At 40.6% G+C, this 27,094-nt stretch overlaps 1 protein-coding gene across 36 annotated transcripts in view; it reads right to left on the bottom strand.

Moving 5' to 3' along the window:
• The window catches only part of SULF1 (sulfatase 1), a 194,132-nt gene that overhangs the window by 67,694 nt on the left and 99,344 nt on the right, over positions 1–27,094 (bottom strand). For 30 of the 36 annotated variants that reach the window (NR_182051.1, NR_182053.1, NR_182050.1 and 27 more), the window contains 3 exons: positions 17,010–17,249; positions 6,711–6,862; positions 4,078–4,247 (listed from right to left, as the gene is read on the bottom strand). Coding sequence is in view for 28 of the 36 variants with exons in the window: in NM_001412835.1 (NP_001399764.1) it covers positions 4,078–4,247; positions 6,711–6,862; positions 17,010–17,249 (562 nt within the window). In the remaining 8 variants the exon portion in view is untranslated. Of the gene's footprint in view, positions 1–235; positions 320–4,077; positions 4,248–6,710; positions 6,863–17,009; positions 17,250–27,094 lie in introns of those variants that run through there. The other 6 variants (NM_001412845.1, NM_001412846.1, NM_001412844.1 and 3 more) reach the window with 2 other exon arrangements.

The raw sequence follows: 27,094 nt of genomic DNA, 5'->3' as shown, positions 1-27,094 counted from the left end.
ACTGAACTCTGAACCTGTGCACACACTCACTCCTTCCAGCCCCTTCCTCCAGCAGCAGCCAGGGAGACCTTCACAGCAAAGATGCCAGGAATTCAAGGCTTTCAGGGCCTGCAGGAGACCACATTCTAGGTGCACAAAACCCAAGGATTAGCAGCAAAGAGAAGCTGAATCCTTCAAACAATCACATGAATTTTCATTTCCTGTGGCTAAGGGAGTTCTCCAAACTGGCACTTACCCATAGCACATACTTGCACCTGGAAAAGATAACACAGTCCAGATTGGTCCTTACCCTGTCTGTTCCATTGGAATGGCCAGGTGTGAGAGGCTCATCACAATGGGAGTCTTAGCTTGTCAAGAGGTCTGTCATGTCACAATGGACAAGCATCAAGTTGTCATTTCTCTCACTGCTTCCCCTAAACCTTAAGTTGAGCCACATGAAATTGCCCTTTTGTAGGTCCAGAATGATAGAATATTGTTAGTTTCTTAATAAAAAGGTTCAATAAGAATTGACACTTATGAAGTGGCTTGTATGTCCCAGGCTCTATGTGGGGACTTTACTTACACTGCCTCTCTTAATTTCTCTTCATGACATCACATCAAGGTGTTAGTATTATCTCCATTTTACAGATGAGACAGTGGAGGTTTCCAGAGATTAAAGAAAGCACCCCTACACTCAGTGAGGGCAGCTGAGGCAGGAAACCAGGCTCGTTAGCCTCTAAGGCCACCCTCTGCACTGTGTAGATTTTACTTTATAGAATCACTAATAAGGGCAATAGAAGGTTCATTTGAACTAAAAAGGAACTACTGAATCTATTTGCATGTGGAAATGTCTGAGCCACCTCCTATTTTGTTACTACCCAACCTCCAGTGACTCTCTGCTTGCAGTTACATACAAACTCACTGACACCCTCAATATTCTGCAACAGTTTCCCTCTGCAGCATTGTTCCTTAGTGCTGCTTTCTTTGTAGCCCATTCTCCAGTTTCTAGGACACATCTTAGATTGCCTCCCTTATACAGTGACCACGTGTCCTTGCCATATTCTCTTCCTGAAACCCAATCTCTAAACAATTATCTGCAGAAATTTTACCCATCTTTTGAGGCCCACTTTGAAGCCTTGGTCCATGAAGTTTTCCTGGTTTCCTTCAAAGATATGAAGGCTTCTCCCTCCCCGCTCCACAGCCCTGCGAACGTCTGCTCTGTGCTTGTCACTTCTGGCCCTATTGGTGATATTGCCATTGGGACACTTGCCCATCCTGCCCCTAGAGCAGAGGTTGGGGCAAAGTTACTTTATCGAGGATGAGATAGTATTTCCAGGCTGTATGGTATCTGACACAACTACTCGACTTGGCTGTTGTATTGTGAAAGCAGCCACAGACAATACATAAATGAATGAGCATGGCTGTGTGTCAATAAAATTTTGTTAACAAAAACTGGTGGCAAGCTAGGTTTGGACTGTGGGTACCAGTGTGCCAACCCCTGCCTTAGTTTATCTGTCCTTAAATGTTAGCAACTGTGTCTTCCTCACGCTTATCTATATCCCTGCTGGGCTGCATAGTGTCACATGTGGCACTGATAAATATTCGTGGAATGAAATAGAATTTTTAATTACTGGAATCAGAGATGTTTTTCTTTTCTTTTCTTTGTTTTTTTTTTTAAGACAGAGTCTTGCTCTGTCGCCGAGGCTGGAGTGCAGTGGTGCGATCTCGGCTCACTGCAAGCTCCGCCTCCCGGGTTCATGCCATTCTCCTGCCTCAGCCTCCCGAGTAGCTAGGACTACAGGTGCCCACCACCACGCCTGGCTAATTTTTATTTTTTTTTTGTATTTTTAGTAGAGACAGTGTTTCACAGTGTTAGCCAAGATGGTCTTGATCTCTTGACCTCGTGATCCGCCCGCCTCGGCCTCCCAAAGTGCTGAGATTACAGGCGTGAGCCACCGCGCCTGGCCAGCACAGAGATGTTTTTCAAAAAGCTATTGCTGAGACCCTGAGAACTCTGCAGGCTCCTCCCCTCATGCAGTACTGATTCCATGCAACTGAGCTCTTATAAACTCTTGACCTGAGGCTGATTTTCCTGCAGGCTTAGGACCTTGCCTCAAAGCTTCAAAGGCAGGCTGACTTTTAAGGAGCCACAAAACACTCTGTTTTGTCAACCCCTTCTCCTCCAGCTTGAGGGAACATCTGTAAAGTTTACAGTTATAGGAAGTCACCTTAGACTGGGTTTCTGCTAATGCAACAAAGATAGGTAAAGTGATTTCTGATTCAACAGAAATGGGAACAGGGGGGTTCAGGGGTATTGAAAAAGCCCGCAGGACTTTTTCCTTTCATTGAATCAGTTGGCTACTAAATTTGTAAGTGAGCTATAATGGAGAGCCACTTGTCACACATGGGCTTCATTCATGAATTTACTCGCAGAGTTGTATATAGGGGAAGATCTTCAGAAGCTTAAATATCCACCCATGGAGTTGACTCCAAAACATAATGGCTTATCCCAGCTATATTCCCAGGTGCTGGGGCAACCTTCATGATTTGTCGATGATATTTTATGCATTAAAACACTTCCATCCTCTGAGTTCCTGGGCATGCTCAGTAGGTAACCCACCCTGGCTTCATATTGTTAGTTCTTGTCCTGAGTCAGCTCTGGCCTCCTTCTTTCTGGTCTAAGTCACATGATATCATAGAGATGATCTGTGTACCACTGACCAGGAGTCATAAGTCAATCAGTTACATTAAGGTACAAATAAAAATATTTTATAAGGCTGGGTGCGGTGGCTCATGCCTGTAATCCCAGCACTTTGGGAGGCCGAGGTGGGTGGATCACTTGAGGTCAGGGGAGTTTGAGACCAGCCTGGCCAACATGGTGGAACTGCGTCTCTACTAAAAATACAAAAAATTAGCCAGGTGTGGTGGCGTGTGCCTGTAGTCCCAGCTCCTCAGAAGCCTGAGGTGGGAGAATTGTTTGAACCCAGGAGGCGGAGGTTGCAGTGAGCCAAGATTGCACCACTGCACTCCAGCCTGGGTTACAGAGCAAGACTCTGTCTCAAAAAAAAGAGAACATTTTATAAAAACTTCTCTAGGGATGTATAGTGACCGGCAACTAGAGAGCCTGCATAGTTACTTACCTATTTTCGTAAGGTTCTTTCTGCCTGGAATCTTGGCTAATAACCAGTGTGGATGAAAAGAGATGATATTTAAGTACAAATAGATTAAGAACCAATTTTGGAGGTTTCACAATATAGGAAACAGATACCAATTTTCTGTTCCCTGTCTCCCTAATGGTCAGGCTTTCAGCAGACACAGAGCCAACTCCACTGCTCTGTGTGGAAGACTGGATATTGATGGCAAAGCTTAGGAAGAAATGGTGTCAACTGAGTGAACAACAAAATCATGTTCTTTGCTGCCAAAGCATCTAGATTTTTCCACCTTTGGCTGGTGAGAATTGTGGGCACACGACAGCTCTTTGTTCTGTCTCATCCCTCCACGCCATCAGCCCTCTCCCTTGTGCCTTCCCACCCCCCATCTCCAAGACTCCTGCCTCTTTAAAAAAAAAAAAATCAGGTTATTTTAAAGCTGTGACCTGAGAAGCCCTCTTGGGCAAGCCACTCAAGCTGCCTTCTGCAGGAATTCTAATTGCACGTCTGCAGCAAAGCTGCTACGGTATTCGCCTGGAAAATAAATCCATGTTTCTATAACCAGACCAGAGGTCCCCACTGTGCAGCTATGAAAAGCATACTATTTGATCATCATCATTATTAGATCAGACACACGAATATTATTTAAGACAACGAAAGGAAACTCTTGTAAAACTTGCCCCCATTCACTCTATGTGCATCTCTTCCTTTCTATTTAGCTACTTGTAAATGCTGGAAATTTGATTCCTCCTCAAACCACCCAGATAAGGCGCTTTCTTTCAGGCTCAGCGGCTCTGCCTGTTCCGTGGTCTGCTCTTAAGTTATCCTTTCATGAAGAAAGCCTTGTGGATACGCAGGGTGGAAGGAAACGGGGTAAAGGAGAGGAGTGGGATGAGGAGAAAAGGGAAAGGCATGTTCGGCAGGTCGCAGAGTTGAGTTTGTTACTTACATGTGTTGGGAAGCATTGGGGTACAGTTTAGAAAACTGTGGGGCTGAGTCCTCGGGGCCGTGGGGCGCAGCGTGGCTGATCACCATCATAACGGGCCTATGGGGATACATTCTCTTAGACATTTTGAAGTAATTAATGCTCTCGTTAGTGATTAAGTCTGTGAAGTAGTCCTGAAACATACATTTGACACAAAACAAAAATTACAAAAGGTGACATTCATCAGATCGCATTTGAATAACTGCTTTCCTCAGAAGCAATTCACTGCACGAAGTGGCAAGGTCTACAGCAGGAAGGAAGGCTGCACCTCCCAAGGCAGCCGAACATTTTCGATAATAGAGAAAATCAGCTGCCAGTTGTTTTCTAGGGTTGCTAGCTTGGTAACATACGAAAAATGGATTTTAAGTAATACACAACTTAGCAATGGGGAAAAAAAAAGTCAAGTCGTGTTTGCCCAAGATAATGATTAATCTGGCGATAAAAGTACTAGAACACATGAAACACCGGATACATATTTCAGTCTCAGGTTTCATTGATGTAATTCCTTGGCAAAAAATTTAATTACTTTAAGGGCAGGAAACACCCACGCCCACTTCAAATTTACAGTTGCAGAACACACACACATACATACACACACGCTCACACACACACGCCCATGAATACATAAACACAAGAAAAGATATTTTCTTCAAACGAAAAATCCACCTGTGGGAATTACAATAATCAGTAATCAAAGCCATGGCCAAAATCCAGGAGCACAGGGAAAAGCTGCAACATTTGATCAGTTAATTTACTTGAAACACTTGAATAGGGAGCAGTTGATTTCCTGCAGATTATACTGTGTTAATTGCACAACTAAAGCAATACAGCTGCTGGGATTAGAGCCTGACTTGCTAATAAAATGACTTAACCCACAGTCAGGGGGGGCTGATGCAGGTCTGTAAGAGGGAGGGAGGAAATGGAATGAAAAGGAAAGAAAAGATGAAAACTTAAACCACCTGCTTCTTTTAAGTGTGTGTCATTGGCTTGGAGCTCCAGTATAAACTTTATTCAGAAAGTGTTTAGGCAATATTTGCAAATGTTGAAGGCTTCCAGGCATGGCTAATCACATGTTGTGGATTTAAGGACCAGAACAGCTGCAAAAGCAGTATCAGAGGGATGGTGTGTGCCGCATGTCATTGTTAGGGCAAGTCTACAGGCTATCCCCTTCCTCTTCCAAGGGAGTGTCTGTTTCATTCTTTTCCTCACTAAAAAAAGATATATATTCTTTTCAGACACAGTTGTCTTTGACACTTAATCAGCTGTGATAATGAACAAGTTACGCTGATTTAGTATTTGGAGAGAATCTTGATTACTTTGCTCTCTTTAGGACAGCAGGGAAAGAAAGGTTAATAACTTGAACAAGGAGCATGAAAAAGCATCCCTACAGACAGCAAAGGAGAGCAGTGACAATTAGTGCACGTGGTCTGCACCATTTGCTTGCAATGATTGTATCCACAGCTGGGGATATGACCTAGGATGAGTGGTTGAGCCACTCTAGAATGCTTTTTTCTCATCTTTGCAAATGAGGACATTGCTCAAATTTGCCTCCAAGGTCTCTGCTAACTTTTAACTTTCATGAGTTTGGAAGCCTATTAGCAATGTTTATGAATTCATTTGCATTCATTGTTTTCTGAAGGGTATAAAGGAGCTGGACTTAATCTTATCTCCCATCAAGTCCCTTGTGCTCAAATCAGGCCAAGCATAAAGACAGCAATATGCCAACATTAAATCAAGTTCTCTCCTTCCGATTTCTACCAAGTGATCTAGCCTGTTGGGAGAGGTTGCTAGATAGAGCAGATTCTCGGCTTCTTCTAGATAAATGAAGAAGAGATGGGTATGGCTGGAAGGGAAGGGGATATTTTGGCAAATAAGCATGCTAAATTCGAAGATATTTTCCCCTTCATTCTTATGATTTGAAAAAAATTTAAACTTAAGTCAGCTATCACAAAATCTTTGTGAATTTTTAAGTCAAAACTAGAACCCACTGGTCAAAGAACTATGGGACATGTTGATTTCAGTTTCTCTGAACTGATTTGAAAATCCTAGAATTGATAGCATTAGAGACTTTTGTGGATGCTTGCCGTGATAGGGAAGGTGTCCTTGTCACGTATACTAAGCTTGGTCAGACAGGAGTAAAAGCAAGGAATGTGGTTTTTCAAACTTTAATTATCATATTTATTTGCTCTTATGCTTGTGCCTAAATCTGAAGCCACAGACAAAATATACTTTTGTCCCAGTGAAAAGTAAAACAGTACAAGATGAACATTTGATTATGTGGACAAGTCCTTGGTTGGGTCCGGGGGAACTGGGAGGACAAAAATTATCATAAGAGAGCAGAGAATTCTGATTTTCTTGATGATACTTTCATCAAAGCCTGATTGCCTTTCATCCTAATGAGGGAAATCACTACACAAAGGCAGCGTTCCTTGAGAGTCTTTTCCTTGCCTAGAGTTTAAAATTACCTTAACATTTCTCATGCTAACATTGTGAGAACATAGAAAGCCAATCTTGTGGATAGTTTAACTCACTGAAAATGGCTTTTCCCCATTATGCACAAAGTAAATTGATGCAGTGTAAAAGTGCCTGAAAATTACCTTTGCATAATCAAATCCATGCTTTTCTTTGATGCCATTGCGACAAACAGTGTAATTATAGAAGCGAGAATTCTTGATTAATCCAAGCCATTCTCGCCACCCAGGGGGGATGTAGCTGCCATTATATTCATTGAGGTATTTTCCAAAAAAGGCTGCAGTGGGAAAAAAGAATTATTTTTTTCACGTAAAATGATTAATCATAAATAAATGGATAAGTATAAAATTATGACTTGAAAAAGAGACGGTAAAACAAAAGTTGCCCTAGGTAATAGTGAATGCCAAAATGACATTAGTGTAATACTCCAATCCTTTGGCAAAGTGACACAAACACATTTTTAAAAAATAAATAGAAGTAGTATCCAAGTACATGGATTACAGCTCAATGAAACCATCATAATGATCACAGCACTCTGGGTGCATTCATTTCTTATGGTCCTACTGGAGTAAAATCAGGCTATGCTCTTTTGTTAAGTTGATGGAACAATCAGAGAAGTAGCGTGAGATTTGGAATGCAACCACCGGGCAGGTGTTGGAGAACTGAAAGTTCAGTCTTTGTGATAAGTTTTCTAACTTACTATTTGAGAATTGTGAATTATAAAAACACTATTGAAAAGCTTATTTTCGTTTTTACATATCCAGAGAGTACAAATTTTCCAAACCAGGGAACCATGGTAAACTCCATTTTTATGGGATATGGTCAGGGTTTATATCACATGTATAGTATGTAATGGGTGTTTATGTTATGTGTATTTTATGAATGTATACATCTATTATCGATAATAAAAATTCTGTCAACATAGAGTTACTACATAGATTACTAATTTTCATACAATTATAGTATAGTAGAAGTGTATGTGTCACAAAGACACCACAGTTCACTAAAAAAGCCACTGGAAGGCCTTCACATTTATAACTTTGGCATGTCACTTCCAAGAAAGACCACTGTGCCACAGGGCTGACTCGGTCTCTCTGAGAGGGTGACTAGAAATTTGGTCTTCTGCAAAAGATGATGACAGGAGAGGGGTACGGGAAGCAAAGAAGAAGCTGGGATTCCAGGAACAATATGGGTTCATTCTTGAAGTGAAAAAGACATTACAACCTAGCAGAATGGTAGTCATAAATATACTGGAATACTTTTGAGAGAGCAAGAGGATGTTATTTGTAATTGCTGTAATTACAGAAAAGCAGGTATAAACAAGCATGATTCTGGGTAAACCTAAATGTTTAGTCACTCCAGCCACACACATAGCTTTCCCTTCAAGTAGAAAGGGCTAGAGAAAACTTTATTTTATATATGTCTGTATAGGTATAAGCATGTGTGCGTGTATGTATATATGTGTGTGTACACACACACACACACACCCCTATGCATGCATATACATATGTAGGCAAGTTTTAGTTTTTCTGATGTTATAAAGCTGTTGCCAGACGCCTTCCATGTCAAAGCCAATGCCTGGCTTCATTAAACAGATTTTATAGGTGCCCTCGCTTATATCCATGGTAAAAAAGTAGTTCCTGGAAGACTGGCTTGGGATAATAGAAACGAATTCTAGAATTGCAGCACTTTATTGACATTGGTCTTAAAACACACATTCTGAATTTTAAACTTAATGATGTACATAATTTTGATGTCTCTATGGGATAGGTATTTAGCTTGCTTTTATCTTTGATATACGACTACAGATGGTCCCTGACCTACGATGGTTCAATTGAAGATTTTCACATTTACAGTGGTGTAAAATTGGTATGCATTCAGTGCAGTACTCAATCAATCCTATGAGTTATTCAGTACTTTATTACAAGCCTATTGGCTTTGTGTTCGATGATTTTGCCCAACTGTAGGCTAATATAAGTGTTCTGAGCACATTTAAGTTAGACTGGGCTAAGCTAAGCTCTGGTGTTCGGTAGGTTCAGTATATTAAATGCATTTTTGACTTACCTTATTTTCAACTTATGATGGGTTTATTGGGATGTCACCCCATCGTAAGTCAAGGAGCACCTGTACCTGTAGAATTCCTCCATCTGAATGTTTTACTTGCTTCCTAATGCCATTGCCTAAAATGGAATTACCAGTTTTCCCTTTCAGCCTTACTCCATTCCTCTGAATGGCATAATCACCCTCCATGAACCATGCTTGGCCCTCCAGAGCCCCCTCTGCTTTCGCCTGCTCCTGCGCTCCCCTTGCTGGGCAGTTGCCACCTCCTATCAGGTCTGCCTTGGAAATAGTGCTCAAATCCCTCCTGCCATCCCTGGTAACTTGCCACCCCTCACAGATGCTCATGGTCTCACTGACTTTCCCAGCCAGGATGGAGGGTCTTTCCACTTCGATTGCCACTGGTTAATCTTCCCAAGGACCTGCTCTGGTTACTTCACCCTCTTCTCGCAATCTCAGATTACCCTCATTGCCTGCAGAATCAAGTGTACTCTGCTAGCTTGCCCTCAGAGGCCTACTTTGAGTTTGGACAAAATCCTTCCCTTTCCAACCCCATCTCCTATTTCTCTGTTAATCGTCCCTCTCTCCAGCTAATGTTTCCTCTATTTGCTCTCTGGTTCCCACCTCTCTATTTTTGCTTGTGCAATTCTCTTTATTTGCCTCTTTATATATCAAGGCCAGAGCAGATGCCATTTCACTCACAGTCTCTGTCTTAATTCCACAACACTGTCTTTGTGGTTGTAATGTCATCTTCCCTTTCTCCATTGTGGTATAGTCATGTTCATATAGAAGCTGAACACCTGCTAGACTGTAAGCTTTTTGAGGGCAAACATTGCCTCTGCCTTATCTCTGAGGCACTCTCCATCCTTGCACACAGTTCAGGGCTCCATCCTTTTTGTTTCTTGAATTTGGGTTCATGAATCCAATGTATTCTGGGGACTTTACGAGGTCTAGACTTTAAAAATTTTGTGATTTTGCTTGAATTATCTTTTTTATTTTTTTGAGATGGAGTCTTACCCTGTTGCCCAGGCTAGAGTACAGTGGTGTGATCTCGGCTCACTGCAACCTCTGCCTCTTGGGTTCAAGCGATTCTCCTGTCTCAGACTCCCAAGTAGCTGGGACTACAGGCACACGCCACCACACCTGGCTAATTTTTTTTTTTTTTTTTTAAATAGAGATGGGGTTTCACCATATTGGTCAGGTTGGTCTCGAACTCCTGACCTCAGGTGATCGATCCATCTGCCTAGGCCTCCCAAAGTGCTGGGATTACAGGCATGAGGCGCTGCGCCCAATCAAATCATCATATTTTTTAAAGCTGATTTGGCCTTCAAAACATTTTCATAGAATAGAGCTTTAGAGTTTCTAAAATTGTTATTTCTTATTATATTATTTTTAAAAGAATCTAGACTCCAGTCTGAGAAACATGGCAATGTTTGTTTGTTGAATGAATGTTTATTTGTTGGCTCTGTGAATGAGTGAACCAATTAGGTCTACAGTCAGCCAAGTGCCCGCTGCTTAAGCATTCTGCCAGGGGCACTGAGCACGTTGATCAGTGTAGGGCAAAGTGTCAAAGGGTCTCACATCAGGTGACTCAGGATTTCCTTCTGTGCTGACTACGTGTAGTTGGAATTCTTTTAATGAGGAATTCCTGTCTTAGAGACGAACTGACCTTTTCACATAGAACCACAAGATGATTTTCCTTTTCCAACAAAATGCAGTATGACTTGGAGCCACAGGCAGCAGACCAAGGCCACACCCCACTAACGTTCAAAAGCGATTGTTTCCAAAAAGCTTGCACTTAACAGCCTCAAGCCCCGTGCTTTCCTTGGCCTCCTCCTCATCCCTACGGGTTTATCCCACTTTTCTTTCCTTTTTTTTTTTTTTTTTCCAAGAAGGCAAAAAGCATAGTGATTGAGAATATAAACCCTAGAGCCAGCCTGCTTGGGTTCAAATTCTGGCTCTGCTACTTGCTAGGGTATCCATCTACATGCAAGTTACTTCACTTCTCCCTCCCCCAACTCCCCTTCTGCAAAGCCACTATGGTGATAATAATAATGGTGGCAGGATTGTTTTGAGGATTAAATGCATCAACACATATGTAAAGCGCTGAAAACAGTGCCTGGCACAAAACAACGGCTTGTTAAGTGCTCCTACAACTAATATTGTTATTAGCATCACCATTAGCAGTATTCTTTTGGCCCTGTCTTTTGTAAATGATTTTCCATCCTGCAGTGTAAGGAAATCTCGCACTAGAGTTCTGCACTTGTGCACTTGAAAATATCTCTTCGGAGGTTACATATTTTCTTCCCCACTACTACTTATTTTGTGGCAACAAACTCCTCCATTTGGCTTACATTTTTCTGCTTAATTAGTTTTAATTTTTTTTTCTGCACTTTAAGTTACTTCATTGTTGGGGTTTTTTTGTTTCCTCTCCCCAAGTCATTCCTGCCCTTTCCTCATTGTTTTACTTTGTAGGATATTTTGTACTGTTTTCTACCCATTGCCATGGCATTCCCCTTTGACTTAATCCTTCCCTTATAAACTATTCCTTCAAGTCTTTTAATAGTCCTTGTTATTTGCTTCAGAACTCCCTCCAGGTTTTTGGTGTCTCTGTGTTAACGGAGCGTAAGAAATGTACTCAGTATTCCAGATGTGCGCTCACCCATCACACTCATTCCAAGGCTGATGGGGGCCTTGGGTGTCAGGGTGCAGCACTGTTGGCCTCCAGTTGCTCTGGCCTTTTTGTTGCCTCATGACATTGAGACTCGTTTGTAATCACCCCGGCCTCTTTCAACACGATGTTTCCTGGCGGCGCTCTGCAATTGATTATCTGGCCCTCTAATTATTTTCCTCCAGATGTATTAAATCTCTTTTTCCCTTCCTAAGGTGAATTTAGCTTTCTTGCCCTTACTGCCATTATGTCTACATGTAGGTTACGTATAGTTCAATATTTTTCTATCCTTCGGCATTGGCAATTCAATTCAACTCCTACTATCTGAATACATCACTAATGTGCCATTTACCCATCCTCTTTGTTTTGGATACCATTAAGCACTTCCCTTCACAGCTGTTTAAGAAGGTGGTGGGGGTTGGGGGGCAGGGAGAAAGATCAGAAGACCTGATTGTAATTATTGTTGGCTTCAGGCCATGCTACTTCTGTCTAGGACAACCTGTTCCATAATGCTTAGAAAAATTTCCAGGAACTACCTGAAGCCAAGGAATTTCTTTTAAAGCCAGCAATAGTGACTAACCCAAAGATCTGATGCCGCAGAAAAGTCAAATCTTATTTAATGTATCAAAAGATATATTGAGATTTTAATCCACGTAATTGATAGACTTAGGGTGATGGATTTCACGCTAGTAACTATAAATATAAATAATTTTGAACCAAGTTAAAATTATGATTAATGTCAGTTTGTATACAGCAGTCTGGTTTCCTCAACTAGATTGTAAGTCTAGTGAAGACAGGAATCTTCCTTTAAATGTCTTCATCCCAATGTCTAGTGTGTTCCAAGCACACTGTGGTTTAATAAATGTATGACATTTCTCATGTTTATGCATGTATCAAGAATCTACATCATAATAAAATTAAGAATATTAGTTTGTCTTACTTTAAGTGAACTCTACATTTAAAAAATCTCATATTAGAGAATAAATATACTTGCTATAAGTAACATAAATTTTGTAACGTAAAAAGACAAAAAAATTTTTGATCCAATATTGTATTTACCATTATTTGATATAATTTTTCTTTTTCAGAACTAAGGTCTATGATTTTGATTTATGACAAAAGAATTCTTCACAAAAATATTTATTGCAGCTGTCTATTAAATATTGTCCCTTCTACCTCAGTGATGTGAGGTAGAATTCATGTGATTAAGATTTAACTCATATGTGATTTTATGTACCATGTGTTAGGATTATAATTCAAATACCACAATTGTTAAATGAATCAATATTATAATTACCATGAGTATAATAAAGTTATAACACACTGTAACTTTGGACAAGAAAGAAAACTTAGGAATCATTCTAGGCCAATCTCTGCATCATACAGATTGGAAAACTGGCCAGTCCAAGTCCTCAAAACAAATCAAGGTAGAATGTGATTCCACGATGTTTTCAATCTTGCTTCAGTTTTTTTTGTTGTTGTTAAATACTTAATGCTATCACTCAACCATGGATAATTATTTTTACCTTAAAACCTAAGCCAGGTTTTATATTAATGTTGATATCCTCATAATAAATTTAAGTTAATTTTTTTGGAGCTGATTTCAGGCAGGATAATCATTTTTATGATATATAATCCAATCTCATTCCTATTTCACTTGTCAGAATATGAAGTGCAGTCGACATGTTACTGCATTTTCCCCTTCTTGAACATTCAAGCTCTCATAGACTCATATTTTCCATGAGTAAACTTAGAAAAATTTAGGCTATAGCCAGTCCAAAAATATGCCTCAGTTCTGAAAGAGAAAACTCATGTCATACAATGGTAAATATAATATTGGATTAATTCAACTCATTTAAATCCATGGATTCTGGACGCCTCCCAAAATAAGCCCTTTAGTAATTTGTTTTCTCTGAGTTATTCTACATAAAACTTACTCTCTAGATGGATATTTATGTATGTATAGTACATATTTCAGTTTCCGTCATTATTTTTCTTAGGTTTGTAGCTAAATGTTCCAAATAATAAATTCATTATTAGGAAAGCAATAGAATCTTTACACATTGACTTTCTCCCTACTAGTTTAGTGTCTCATAATTACATTGGTTTAATATCTACCTACCAATTCTCTTAATTTTCTAAGATTCCTGCCACTTGTGTGTACTTATTTGTGTATTTTCAAATGGGTTGTTGTCCATGGTTGGATCAATAACTATTGTCATGAAGACATTTTTACTTCCTAATTGTCTGAGATACTGTAATGTTTTCCCATCAAGGATAAATTAAATTATAGAGATCTCTATCACTGCCATTTCAGTCTTCCCATTTTTTTTTTTTTTTGTGTGTGTGTGTGTGTGTGACAGAGTCTTGCTTTGTTGCCCAGGCTGGAGTGCAATGGTGCGATCTTGGCTCACTGCAACCTCTGCCTCCTTGGTTCAAGTGATTCTCCTGCCTCAGCCTCCTGAGTAGCTGGGATTACAAGCATGCACCAACACACCTGGCTAATTTCTGTATTTTCAGTAGAGATGGGGTTTTGCTATTTTGGCCAGGCTCGAACTCCTGACCTCAGGTGATACGCCCATCTCAGCCTCCCAAAGTGCTGGGATTACAGGTATGAGCCACTGCACCCGGCCCCAATTTTTATTTTTTCTGATTTACTAATAGGCAAATCTAGATTTGTTTTCCTGAGCCCATATTATCCTTTTCCTACTGGTTTTTCTTTCCTTTTTTTTTTTTTTTTTTTTGAGACAGAGTCTCGCTTTGTCTCCCAGACTGGAGTGCAGTGGCACGATCTTGGCTCACTGGAAGCTCCGCCTCCCAGGTACACGCCATTCTCCTGCCTCAGCCTCCCAAGTAGCTGGGACTACAGGCGTCCGCCACCACGCCTGGCTAATTTTTTCTATTTTTAGTAGAGACAGTTTCACCGTGATAGCCAGGATGGTCTCGATCTCCTGACCTCGTGATCCGCCAGCCTTGTCCTCCTAAAGTGCTGGGATTACAGGCGTGAGCCACCGCACCCAGCCCCTTTTCCTACTGTTAACTAAGTTTTTGGAAAAGTCTTTATTTCCCTTAAAGAATTCCTTTTATTTTGGAGGTTGACTCACTATAAATTGTATTATTACCTAAGTGTCTAAACCCTGGGGAAAAGGTTTAGAAACAGATTTAGTTTCCAGGAGCAAATCTACTCTCCCTGGAGAAGACATCGACTGAAACAAACTTCTCGGGCTGCACAAAAAAGTGACAGTCCATTGAGGTAACAGGGAAGCCTTCCGGTGTGTACACAGTTTCATCCCAGACCCGATTCTTAAGGTTTGATCAGCACACTGGAGAGAGCCCTGAAGACTAAGGTCCCGGTGCCGGCTCTTCCCATTGGAACGTCAGTCAGTTGTGGGGTGGGGGGAGGGGGGAGGGATAGCATTAGGAGATATACCTTATGCTAAATGACGAGTTAATGGGTGCAGCACACCAGCACGGCACATGTATACATATGTAACTAACCTGCACATTGTGCACATGTACCCTAAAACTTAAAGTATAATAATAATAAAATAAAATAAATAAACAAATAAATAAAAAACAGTCAGATCTGTCACTTCAGTCACTTTATTCTTGTGGGTGTAAATTTGCTCCTCTAAAAATAAGGAAATGGAACTAAATCATCTTTGAGTTTTAGTTAAACTCTCTCAATCCCTCTTAAGGTGGATATAGCACAGTATAACCGAAGCAAGTACCAGGAAACATGCTTAGAGGCAACTGAATTGTTTTTATCCCGGTGACTGGGTGAACTTTACAATGGATGGTGTTTCCATTTTTGCTCTTAACATCTGGATGCTTAGTTCTAAATATTCCACCTTTCCCTACAACTCCACAGCAAGCAGTTTGTACAGCAATCTTTGCCTTGACTTTAGCTAGTCCTACTCTTTGTTTCTGTTTGCCAGGGTCCTCATGGGTCTGTAGCTTCTAAAGTCTGTATCTCTGGAAGGCGTTTTGGAATGAGGCAGAAGAGAATCATTACATAAATAAATAAGACAATGAACAGAGGAAAGACTTTGGAGTCAGATGTGCTGGGTTCATTCCATCACCGACTAGCTCATGACCATAGACAATTAGCCTTTCTGAGTCTCGGTTTTTTCATTAGTAACATGGGAAATTCCTTTCTTTCAAGATTGCCCTAGGAATTAGGTGAGATAATGGCAAAATGGAGTTCCCTTCTTTCTTGCCCTTCCTAATTTAGCCCTGAAACAAATTAGCAAACCCTAGTTGACTGCTCTAAGTCCTGGCAGGGCCCTGTCTCACCCTCAATCTCTATTTCTTATGACAAATGTCATCCATTTCACTCTGGATATGTGAGAGTCCCAATCGTTCCAGTTCCATGTTTGCTACTAGGGAACCTGGGAGGTGAAAGGCACTGATTTCACACAACACTTCCCAGAAGCAAAACACAATTTGATGGTTAAAATCAGGAACCGGTTATTAGGGAACCGCCTCTGATTCTGTTTCTGAGCTGGTCACGCAATATTTGAAATCCCCACCTCAGTTATAAAACAGAGCCAAGTACATTTGCCATCTATGAACTCTACAGGGATGTTTGGTGGATTTGCAAATTGCTTTAGAGTCCTCAAATGAAAGGTGCTATAAATTTAAATCACTAATGTGAGAAAACACACTCAGATAAGGCACTCTCTGTAACCTCTACGTAACCTAGTTTCTTTCCTACGCATAAGAAAACACCCTTGAGATGCACGGGAGGAGCTGCTTCGAGTCGAGACTTTGAGCTGTCTGCGAGTGACAGTGCTATCATATGCACAATCAATATTTTCATCCATAAATAACAAGTATTAAGTGCCCGTAGGGCGCTCTGCAAAGAAGCAAATGGCCATATATTTCCTGAGTCCAGTGGGAAAGATTAATTTCACTTTTAAAAGAGATGCAGGAGAATATTTATCTGAACTCCTTTACTTTTAAATCTTCAAAATAGAGAAATTGTAGGCCTGAAAGTCATTTGAACAAGCTTTAATCATAACATATTTGATTCTTATGAATAAGCCTAGGTGATTCTGGAAAAATAAAAACAAGCAACAACCCATGTCTGCACTGTAGCCCTTCTACGAACAACGTTGTGCCCTTTTATGAAGAAATGCTACAAAAAACCCAAGGACATCATCTACATGCTGGGAGGATAGGGCCTTGGGGCTAATATTACCAGAAGGAACCTTGCTTTTTTCTCAGAAAGACTGGCATGATGTTCACTACCCCTCTTGAAAGAAGTCCCCAATTTTCAAAAAACCAATTAATCAAAAACCTCTTCTTGCCCTGTGTAGGTTAAACAATAATAGGAGGTGTAGCAATTAGGATGACTTCCTTTCCTGGAAGGTAGAAGTGAACATTTGAGACCTAAAAACAACCACAAGCTAAAGAAACTTTCCAAATCCTATTAATTATGAATGAACAAATACATGAATCAACAAGGTACACATGATTGATTTACCCATCAGTTTTTCATTAATTAATAAATAATAAATAATTTTGATCATTTACTGTGTCCCAGACCCTGGGGTAGATGTCAAGCAGTTTAAAAACACTTGATCCTTTTTTAGGTATTTGTTGGAACTTCATGCATTTCATTACATGACACTTCTTCCTGAGTCTAAGACATATTACAAGACGTTCATGGGCTAGAAACGTCATCCCTTACCTGTTCTGTAGCCAGTGTTGTTAAGATATACAGCAAAAGTCCGAGGCTCATGCATGGCCTGCCACGAGGGGGAAGAGCAGTTCTCGTTGTTGGTGTAGACATTGTGATTGTGCACATACTTCCCGGTGAGCATGGAGGACCGTGACGGGCAGCACATGGGTGTAGTCACAAAGGCATTGATGAAGGTGGCCCCCCCATGTTCCATAATCTTTCTCGTTTTGTTCATGACTTGCAGGGACCCTGAAAGGCACAGTGCCAGCATTGTTTAGCAAAGTGCAGCACATGAATGCCTATTTCGATTGTGCCCCTCAGTGCCTCTGTTTCCCTGACTTATTCATTTCCTTTCCTTAGCTTAAAGGAGTCTATAATTTGATCAGCTCTCATTTCTACAACAAAATTAAGCATTTGAGATCCTACCATCTCAAGTATTTTGCAGAATAATAAACATACACTTCTCCTCCCTGTAATCACGAAGAAAAAAAAATGCAGGCTAATCTGATAATTAAAGCTAGAATTTTAGATATGGAGCAGATTCAAAGGCCAGCAGCCCTTTGAAGATTACCAGAGAACAATAGCCTGATACACAGAGCATCAAAACCCCCAGCCCAGCACAAATGCAATCTACTAGTGACATTGCTACTAGATTACTAGTGTAGATTACTACTATAGCATTTTAATCGTATGAAAGAAAAGAGAAAAAAATTTCTTCCATATTAAGTCCCATCAAAATGCCTGTGTTTGTTTAATAATAATTAAAAAAGATCTTCAATGCAAGTTGGTATCCTCTAGCAAGCTCACCAAATGTTTGCCAGTTTTTCTATTAGGATAACAACATCAATTTATATTTTGACCTATTTATGCACAATTTTTTAAAGATAGGCTGTTTGCTTGTGAAAGAGCTATAATTCGATTGCACTCGAAAGTATTTGCAGGGTTGTAAAATATTCCATTTTAACTTTAAGGATCAACTGGTAACGTAAGATTGCTGAGGAAGGAAAAAAAAAAAAAAACTATTTCGATTACTCTGTCCAGCCAAACACTGCAGCTGAAACACATCCAAACACTGCAGAAAAGCACAGGCCAGAATTCAATAGTCTTTTCAGGACTTGTCAAGAAGTGTACTACAGAGCACTACAGCCAAGCCCATTGCATTTGAATCTTGGAGCCTCAGATTTCCAACAGGTCCCACTTCTTCCAAAGAAAGGAAGAAAGTCTATGTTTTCCAGCAAGGAAGGAAATCGTAATGCAAACCAGGCAAGCATTCAGGGCAGAAGAGAAGCATGCAACAGTCCAAAAAGCCACAGTTAGCCCCGTGTCTTCATATACTAGCTTTTACCGTTCACATGACGCATATGAGAACAGGAGGAGGGTTTCTAATTGGGTCTCATTAGAGCTCCCTAAAATATGCCTCGGCTAGGAGCAATCCTAACTGCTCTTTCTCTTCTGGTTGTCTTCAGGGCATCAAGCAACCTTTTGTAGTCAATGAATAACATGTCTTGAGTGCCTACTTCATGCAAAACATTCTATCAACCTCAGCATTCCGGGCTGATCTCCCAAGTGTAGCATAAACAAAAGAAATGGGAAATTTTCTGCCTCTGGTCTTCAGTAATAAATTCTCTAGAGGAGAACCTACATAGAAAAATCACTTGGGGATATTTGCAAAGCAATGCACACGTAACAATGTGAATACAGCAGTAGCAGGGCATATAAAAATAGAGGGAACTTGGATTGATGGCTTAATAAGAGTTCTGAAATGAGAGATGAGGACAGATGGAAAAAAAGGAGGAAGTAAATGTCGGATGGGTGAAGTATATCATTGGGGGATTGCAGCGAGTGACATGTGTGATGCTCTGGAGGTGGGAAGAAACAAGTAGAGTGATGAGAACAACACATTGATTTCCTGGCATGAAGAGAAATATGGAGAATTCTCTTCATGAAATGTGGAAAGCAGATTTAGCAAATAGCTTGAAGGCTGGGCAGAGATACTGGATGTGATAGAATAAAAAAAACAAAGGTAGAGTTATGTTCTGTGTCAAAGACACGAACGGCATGTTAAGAAAAAAGTCTTTGTAAGGTGTTGCTGCTGCAGTGGATTGCAATCCCCTCGAGAGGCGTTGCAGTTGCAATGGTGGTGTGTGGATTGAGGAGGGCACACTGCTGCTGGTCCACGAAGGGTGCAGATGAGGTCGCTGAAGCCGTCTACCCCTGAGGAAAGAAGAACTCGGACGACTATGCCTCTGACACAGAGCGACCCTAAGAAGCAGACCCAAGTGATGTGGTGATGCATGAGAAGGCTGGGAGTTGGCTAACACCTTGAAGTTTTCACCGTGAGAAGAAAACTGGAAACCAATCGTTTCACTGATGGTGAAGAAGTAACTAAAAAGGAATATGCCTTATGGGAGATTTTAAAACCCCATTTTAGAAATGTTGCATTTTATATTTGTGTTGGTTGATCACACAGGGGGAATATCCTGGAGATAAGTGGATGAACGGAGATGTAGAAGTGGAAAGAGGGTGAAAGGTGACACTGAAGATTTCTACCATGTCTCATTGCTCCTCTTTAGATCTCTGCAGTAGTTAGTTACTGAGTATCTTGATTTTGGGGAAAACAGCAAACCCTGTTGATGGCTTTTCAGTGTCCAGTAGTCTATTTCAAAGAACAAGCTCCCAGTTTCCTTTATGAGCCTTAGCAGAATTCAAATAAAAGAAAAATGCAGCTGAGGCCATCATCCAAGGTTCTGAATCGCAGCACTGTAATCTCTAGTTTACAGACTCATTTAGACTACAAATATGGGACCGAGGTAGAAATCTGATTTAAAGTCAAAATAATATAAAAACAGGGGCTAAAACTTATCCCAATTCATCACTGCTGGAAGTGCCCCAGCTAGGATTCTCCTCTCATTCTCAGTATCATCCTTTTCTTAACTAACTGAGCTGATTGTGTAGGGCTCCCAAGCAATCCCTCCAGATGCCCTGGCTCCCACCAGTCCACACGTCAAAAGGAACCAAGACAACAGTGGATCCCCATAGGCACTGTTAAGAATACAGCTCCACCACTGGGGTCCTTGAAAATGCGAATCTCGGGCCGGGCTCAGTGGCTCATGCCTGTAATCCCGGCACTTTGGGAGGCCAAGGTGGGCAAATCACCTGAGGCGGGGAATTCAAGACCAGTCTGGCCGACATGGTAAAACCCTGTCCCTACTGAAAATACAAAACTTAGCCAGCATGATGGCATGCGCCTGTAGACCCAGCTACTTGGGAGGCTGAGGCAGGAGAATTGCTTGAACCCAGGAGGCAGAGGTTGCAGTGAGCCAAGATCGCGCCACTGCACTTCAGCCTGGGGGACAAAGCGAGACTCTGTCTCATAAAAACAAAACAAAAAGTGGGAATCTGGCTTGAAGGTTCTCAGTAAAGAGATTCTGAGACAATGCTTGTCCAACTTTAAAAAATCACCTGAAGGGCATAATAAGCCCTAGAATCCTGTACCCACCCCAAGATACTGGCTTAGTAAGTCCAGGATGGGGCCTGAGAATTTGTGTTTCTAATGAAACCTGGGTGAAGCCGAAGCTGCCTCTCAGTGAATCTCACCTGAAAAAGTATTCTAGGTTGGACACAGAATCAGGGAAGCCTAGAGCTGGAAGAGACTGTAGTGGGTGCCTAATTTTGAGTGATCTAGGTGGCTTAGATCACTGCCAAGACTATAAGGTATATTGTAGACAGGAAAAAGAAACATCGATTTTCTACTTACTCTCAGCCAGGTTCTCTTCTAAGTGCTTCACATGAGCAATTAATTTGATCCAGACAATAATCCTTTGTGGTGGGTGCTAGTAGCTATTATTCCTATATCACAGATAATGAAATGGAGGTGCAGAAGGCTAAATCATGCTGTGCCTAGGGCCACACAGACCCTCAGTAGCAGAACCCAGAAGTAAATGCAGGCAGTCTTCCCAGAGACCATGCTCTTGAGCTCTATCTAGGCTGAATGCTGGCTGTGACATTGACATTTTCAAGATGAGAAACAGAATTGACGTCTGCTTGCAGTCGCGATAGGTCTCTCTTTCTGCACTCTCATCTTTTGATTCTTCTCGCCTCTTAGAGGAGATACTGACTGACATTAACACCTGTCTCCTACCCTCCCCTCAAGGCTGAAATGGTCTCAGTGGCTCAGGCACAGATGAGGCATGAGTGGGCTGTGGATCTGTCTGTCTTTAGCTGCTGACTGCCATGGTGGCGTTAATTGTTGCCTCTGATCTCTATGGATTCTCTGGGTAGAGACAGATGACGGTGTGCAGGAATCTGAATCTCTTCACTCCACTGTGTTAGTGTGTACCAGTAAGGAAAGCATCGAGCACCTTTTAATGGCTGTGCAATGATTAATGTCAGTCAATAACACTGCCTTACCCTGTATATATTCCCACTGTGATTGTGCCATTGATTTTTTTATTGGCAAACCTTACTAAAAATGATTCTGTAATAAAACTCATAGTTATTTATTCACAGCTGTTGAGAGCAGTGGACAGGACAATGTCTGTCCGATAAGTGGAAGGGCTCAGTTTTGTTTTAAGCTGAAGCTCTTCACTTCTGTAGGTTTCAGGCCTTGGGTGCCTGAAATGCAAACGGTGCTGATTCTCAGTTATTACAACAATTATTTCATAGGAATGATATGAATTGTAAAGCTGAACACTCATAATCAGATTCACAAGGCAGGGGTGAGGATGATAAAGATGAGAAGGGAAAGAGCCCTAGACTTGAACATGTGGGAAAACATTTGGATTTTGCCACAGCTTAGCCTGAGCAAGTCATTTATCCTTTTTTGGTTTGTGTTTCTCATCTGTAAAATGGAGCTTCTAATAGCGCTCCCCACTCCGACTAGTTTACAAGGTTGTTGCTGAGCAAACGGCAGGATGCCATCAAGTACTTCCTGTAAGGAGTGTGCCGAGGTGGCTGTGGTTGCCCTATGTGCTCACCTCAACCCCATCACATTAAATTTTCTCCTGCCTCTTCCATCTTCTTCTCTGTAATCTACATCTGAAGTCCAAAAGCTGGAGGAGAGAACAGAGGTCAACTACCTTTTCTATGCTGTAAGACTTAAAATGTTGATATTGGTTTTCAAATACAAATATCAATTCTTCCCTTTTCTACACACACTGACTCCTCACCCTAAGCAAAAAGCCCAACTTCATTGTTATTTTAAGTTGTCCCATGAAGTGGGAGCCAGACACAAATGCTCTGAAGCAACCGTGATTATGTCTGTGTAGCTGGTGTGCATGCACTGCTGACTGGGCTGGCTTGATGAGAGGGAAGGTCCAGGCCACAGGACTGCCAAGACACACTGTCCCAGTGCCCCAGTTCCAGGCTGGGACTGAGAACATCTTCCATTGCTCCTGCAGGCGGATGCTGTGACAGCCATCGGCTGTGGACCAGGATGCTGAAGAGGTCAGCGGTGGCTGGGAGTGGGAGAAGTGCCACCCTTCAGGAATCCATCAAGATCCACCATGTTGGCAATTTTGGCACAGTTAAAAATCAAAGCTCCAGGAATAGTGCTTTGGATGGAGTATGTGATAGGTTGTGGCTAGACAGAACCATAGTGAGGAATTTAAATCACTTTATATACTCCAACTACTTGATTCCCAAAATCATTTCATACAGAATGATTTCATACAAAAATCATTTGTATGAAAAAGGATCGGAGAAAATGTCCCCCTAATTTGGATGACTTTGCTAAAATCACACGGAGATCCTGAATTACTTCATTGACATGTTTAAACTTCAAAACAAAGCTTTACCTTTCCCGATACATATATCTTAGCATTTGAGTATACAGTATTTTGTATTACTAAACATTAAAAATTTCATCAAACCTGTTTGTCATGTCCAGAAAAACTCGCAGAACCAGAAATTCAACAGTAAATATTGTCATTATCACTTATGGAAATCCCAGACATGTGGGATTCATATACACCTGGCTTCCTAGAGAGATACTTCCATGTGGATTAGAGCATTCATGGTTTGAAGATTGACAACAACAAGCAAACCCAGCTCTTACTGATTGTGGAGGGGTGTTTGTCGATGTCATTCTTTTATGATGAAGTAAGGCTAATGCTTTAAATATTTAAGTCGTTTGTATTAGGTACTTCCCTGCCATTTTCACATGCCAACAGTTATTTTCATAGTAAAGTATGAAACATGAAACAGTGACATTTCCTTTATTAAAATGCCTGTATGATCTATTGAATATTCTAATTCTAAAAGCATAAGCATATAAAAAATAACAAAATTAAATGGTATTTTTTTTTCTACCCAAACTATGGAATTGGCAAGAAAAAAAAAAGATGTTTTTTACCTAAAACCAAAGGGGGAAAAGGTAGTTGGGAGAAGAAGGGAAAAAAGAGAAGATAATAAATTAGTCTGGAATGTTTCCAGATCACTAAGACTCATCATTTCCTCCTGGCCCCTCCAAAAGAGCACAAGGCCATTAAAAGCTACTTACAGGAATGGAAGTTAACATGCCTACAGGGCTACATAGATAAGGTAGGCAAGTGAAGGCAGCCAGGTATAAGAAAAGTCAGAGGGTTTTTGTGTCTTTTTGTTGTTTTACCTTTGATAGAGACATGGTTTATAGAGCTTTTCCTGACTATAAGAAAAACAGCAGTATGGTCAATGATAAATGGCACCTGCACCTTGGCATAAGTTATTGAGGGACAACACAGTAGTGGGGGATCCCAGTGTCCGAGAGCAGCTGCAGCTCCCCTTCAAACATCCAAGTGATGACTGCTTCATGGGAATACAAGCCTTCATTTTTTGAATTTTCAAGAAACGTCAGAATCTGATTTTTTTATATGTTATATATATTTTAAAATATGATTTTAAAATATTGGCTTAATTCTGAAAAGTATGCTCATCAAACAACATACATCTGTGGGCTAGCTCTGGTCTGAATATCTTGTGTTCTGGCTTTTGTTTTAAAGAAACAAAATATCTCCATGTACTCATAGCTTCCCTATACATATGATCTAAGAGAAACATCGGGTCAATGTTACTGAGATGTTCCTGTCAGGTCAATTTCCTAGGAATGTAAGAAATGCCATGTTGAGTCAGATCAATGGTCTAATCTGCTCAGTATTTTGTTTCTCAGACTAGCACCAAAGGCCATTTGGGAAAGATTTAGAGCCCAATTTCTTTGATGCTAGGCTCAGAAAGTTAGGAGTCCCTCAAACATTTTTTATTTTCTTCCTTCTGATTTATAAAATATTTCAAGTGTAGGGTGTAACAGAATAAATAACGCATCTCCTAGCTTTAACAAAACTTAACATGATTATATTCTTTCAGATATATATTTTTTCAGTTTTGAAATAGAATGTGAATGTACTGATGCTCTCGGTCATCACTTTTTCCCCAGTGGTAGCCATTATCCTGAACTTTATGTTGATCACTTCCTTGCGTGTTTACTTAGCTTAAAAAATTGTAAATCTTCCACCCATTATTCTAGCCTAAAACTCTGAAGTACTTACGGGTATAGGCACAACGTGAACAACTTCTTAAGTTGTGGGAAAAGCAAATTCAGAAGTAAGGGGACCATGGTTAAGCCATTTCATCTTTCCACAGGCTGTTTCCTCCTGGGATGATGATCTTTGTCCTACCCACCCAACTCATGTGAGATGGCAATATTCATTCACAATAATGTGAACAAAATGTTCTTTGGGAAAAGATAAAGTGTTATCCATATGCAAGGTTCTAGTACTTTTATTAATGAATTCCTTATGTGTCTTACTCCCTTTACAGAGTAATAGTTTATTTGTCCTGAAAGTGAAGGGAAGGGCTCCTGCTCATAATGAACTAGTACTTTCCTCCCTGGCTCGATTTTATAAACTTTGATTATAGCCCTTCTCAGCCTTCATCTTTCTAGATAAACAGATAGGATTGTTTTATGCTTTCCCAGTGAGAAAAGTATTCTATTAGAATTTTCATAATTGTTCTTCTAAGTCTTTACTAAGTCTGTTACTTTCTTTTTGGAGGCACAGTAGCCAAAATTGCCTACAGCATTACAGGTGCAAAAAGGTTTGCATTAGGTGAAGATTTATTAAAGCACTTGGCAAAGAAAATTGCACTGGAGTAAAAAACAAAACAAAACCTAACCATATCAAAGTGACAATGAGATAACACTTCATGCCCATTAGGATGGCTACTATTAAAAACAAAACCAGAAAATAACAAGTGTGGGCATGGATGTGGAAAAATTATGACACTTGTGCTCAGTTGGAGGGAACGTAACAAGGTGAGTTGCTATGGAGAACAGTAAGGTGGTTCCTCAAAATAATAAAAATAAGAGTATCATATGATCCAGCAATTCCACTTCTGGGTATAGCTCCAAAATAACTAAAAGCAAGGTCTCGAAGAGCTCTTTGTACACCCATGTTCACAGCAGCATTATCCACAATAGGGAAAAGGAGGAAGCAACTCAAATTTCCAACAGTGGATGAATGGGTTAAAAAAATGTGGTACATATATGCAATGAAAAGTTATTCAGCATTAAAAAGGAAGGACACTCTGACACATGTTACAACATGGATGAGCCTTGAGGACATGAGGGTAAGTAAAATAAGCCAGTCATAAAAAGATAAATGCTGTATGATTTCACCCATATAAGATACCTAGAGTAGTCAAATCCACAGAGACAGAAAGTAGAATGATAGTTGCCAGGATTGAGGGAGAGAGAAACGGGAGTTGCTGTTTAATGGGTATAGGGTTTTACTTTTGTAAGATGGAAAGAGTTCTGGAGATGGGTTACACACCAATGTAAATGTACTTAACAGTACTGAATTGTACACTTAAAAATGGTTAAGATGGTAAAAAAACAAAAACAAAACAACCAACACCCAAAATCTAGAGCAATAATGTTCTAGAAGGATTATGAGCACATTACAGAAAAATGAGGAAAAGTCTCCATCAAGCGGGAACCACTACCGAGAGCATGACTTTTCTGCCAAGAAAGGAGGTCTTTTCTGGACCTCCAACCCACAGTTCACTGTGGTTCCTAGTCATTTTGTTTTTGCCAGTGGCCTATCTTTTGCTTCTGTTCCCTCTCTCCCAGAACCTAAAATATTATGAATTTGCCGATTGTTTTTAGGAGGTGCTTAATAATTATTTGTAGATGGCTGATTAATGGAAGGGACAGTGGTTAAATACGTAGCTGTGGAGACTCAGATCTAATACAGGTCTGGGTTTCACAATTTACTTGCTCACCACAAGCTACATGACTTCTCTGAGCCTCATTTTTCTCATACCTAAATTAAAGAGAGAATAGTAACTACTTCCTAGAGTTACTGTGAGAGTTAAACAAGCTAGTTCTTTTTTTGTTTTGAAATGGAGTCTCGCTCTGTAGCCCAGGCTGGAGTGCAATGGTGTGATCTCGGCTCACTGCAACCTCTGCCTCACGGGTCAAGCAATTCTCCTGCCTCAGCCTCCAGAGTAGCTGGGATTACAGGTGCCTGCCACCATGCCTGGCTAATTTTTGTACTGTTAGTACAGACGGGGTTTCACTATGTTGGCCAGGCTGGTCTTGAACTCCTGACCTCAGGTGATCCGCCTGCCTCAGCCTCCCGAAGTGCTGGGATTATAGGCGAGAATGACCACACCCAGCCAATGAGCTAGTTCTTAGCATGTTATCTGGCTAGAAAATCAAGGAAGGAGTTAAAGGCAAATATGTAGGAAATATCTGGGTTGGCTGAGCCTGGTCTATAACCCTTCACCATGATAGTCACATGCCTCCAACAGAAGGCAATACTTGGTAACTGCTCAGAAAATATTTACTGGATGAATAAATGAACTATAGGACAAGGCTGAAAATTTGAATTCTGTTAAAAAAGAAAGTTATGAGCAATTTCTTAATATATTTTAAAGACAGTGCTGTATATTGAAGAGGTAGATGATGATGAATACTTATATTTATTTCTGGGAATTTTAGCTTGTTTAGAGCCTTATGGGTCCATTTCAAGTTAGTTTAGTGCCCACTATATTCCCAGGCACTAGGAGTGCATGAGGAGTGCAACATAAAACACACCCTTGCTCTCTGGTTGATCTTGGTC

The sequence above is a fragment of the Homo sapiens genome, chromosome 8 (genome assembly GCF_000001405.40).
Source record: "Homo sapiens chromosome 8, GRCh38.p14 Primary Assembly".
In the NCBI taxonomy this organism is placed as follows: Eukaryota; Metazoa; Chordata; class Mammalia; order Primates; family Hominidae; genus Homo; species Homo sapiens.
Note: the sequence above shows the minus strand (reverse complement) of the source record. Positions and strands in the feature narration are given on the sequence as shown.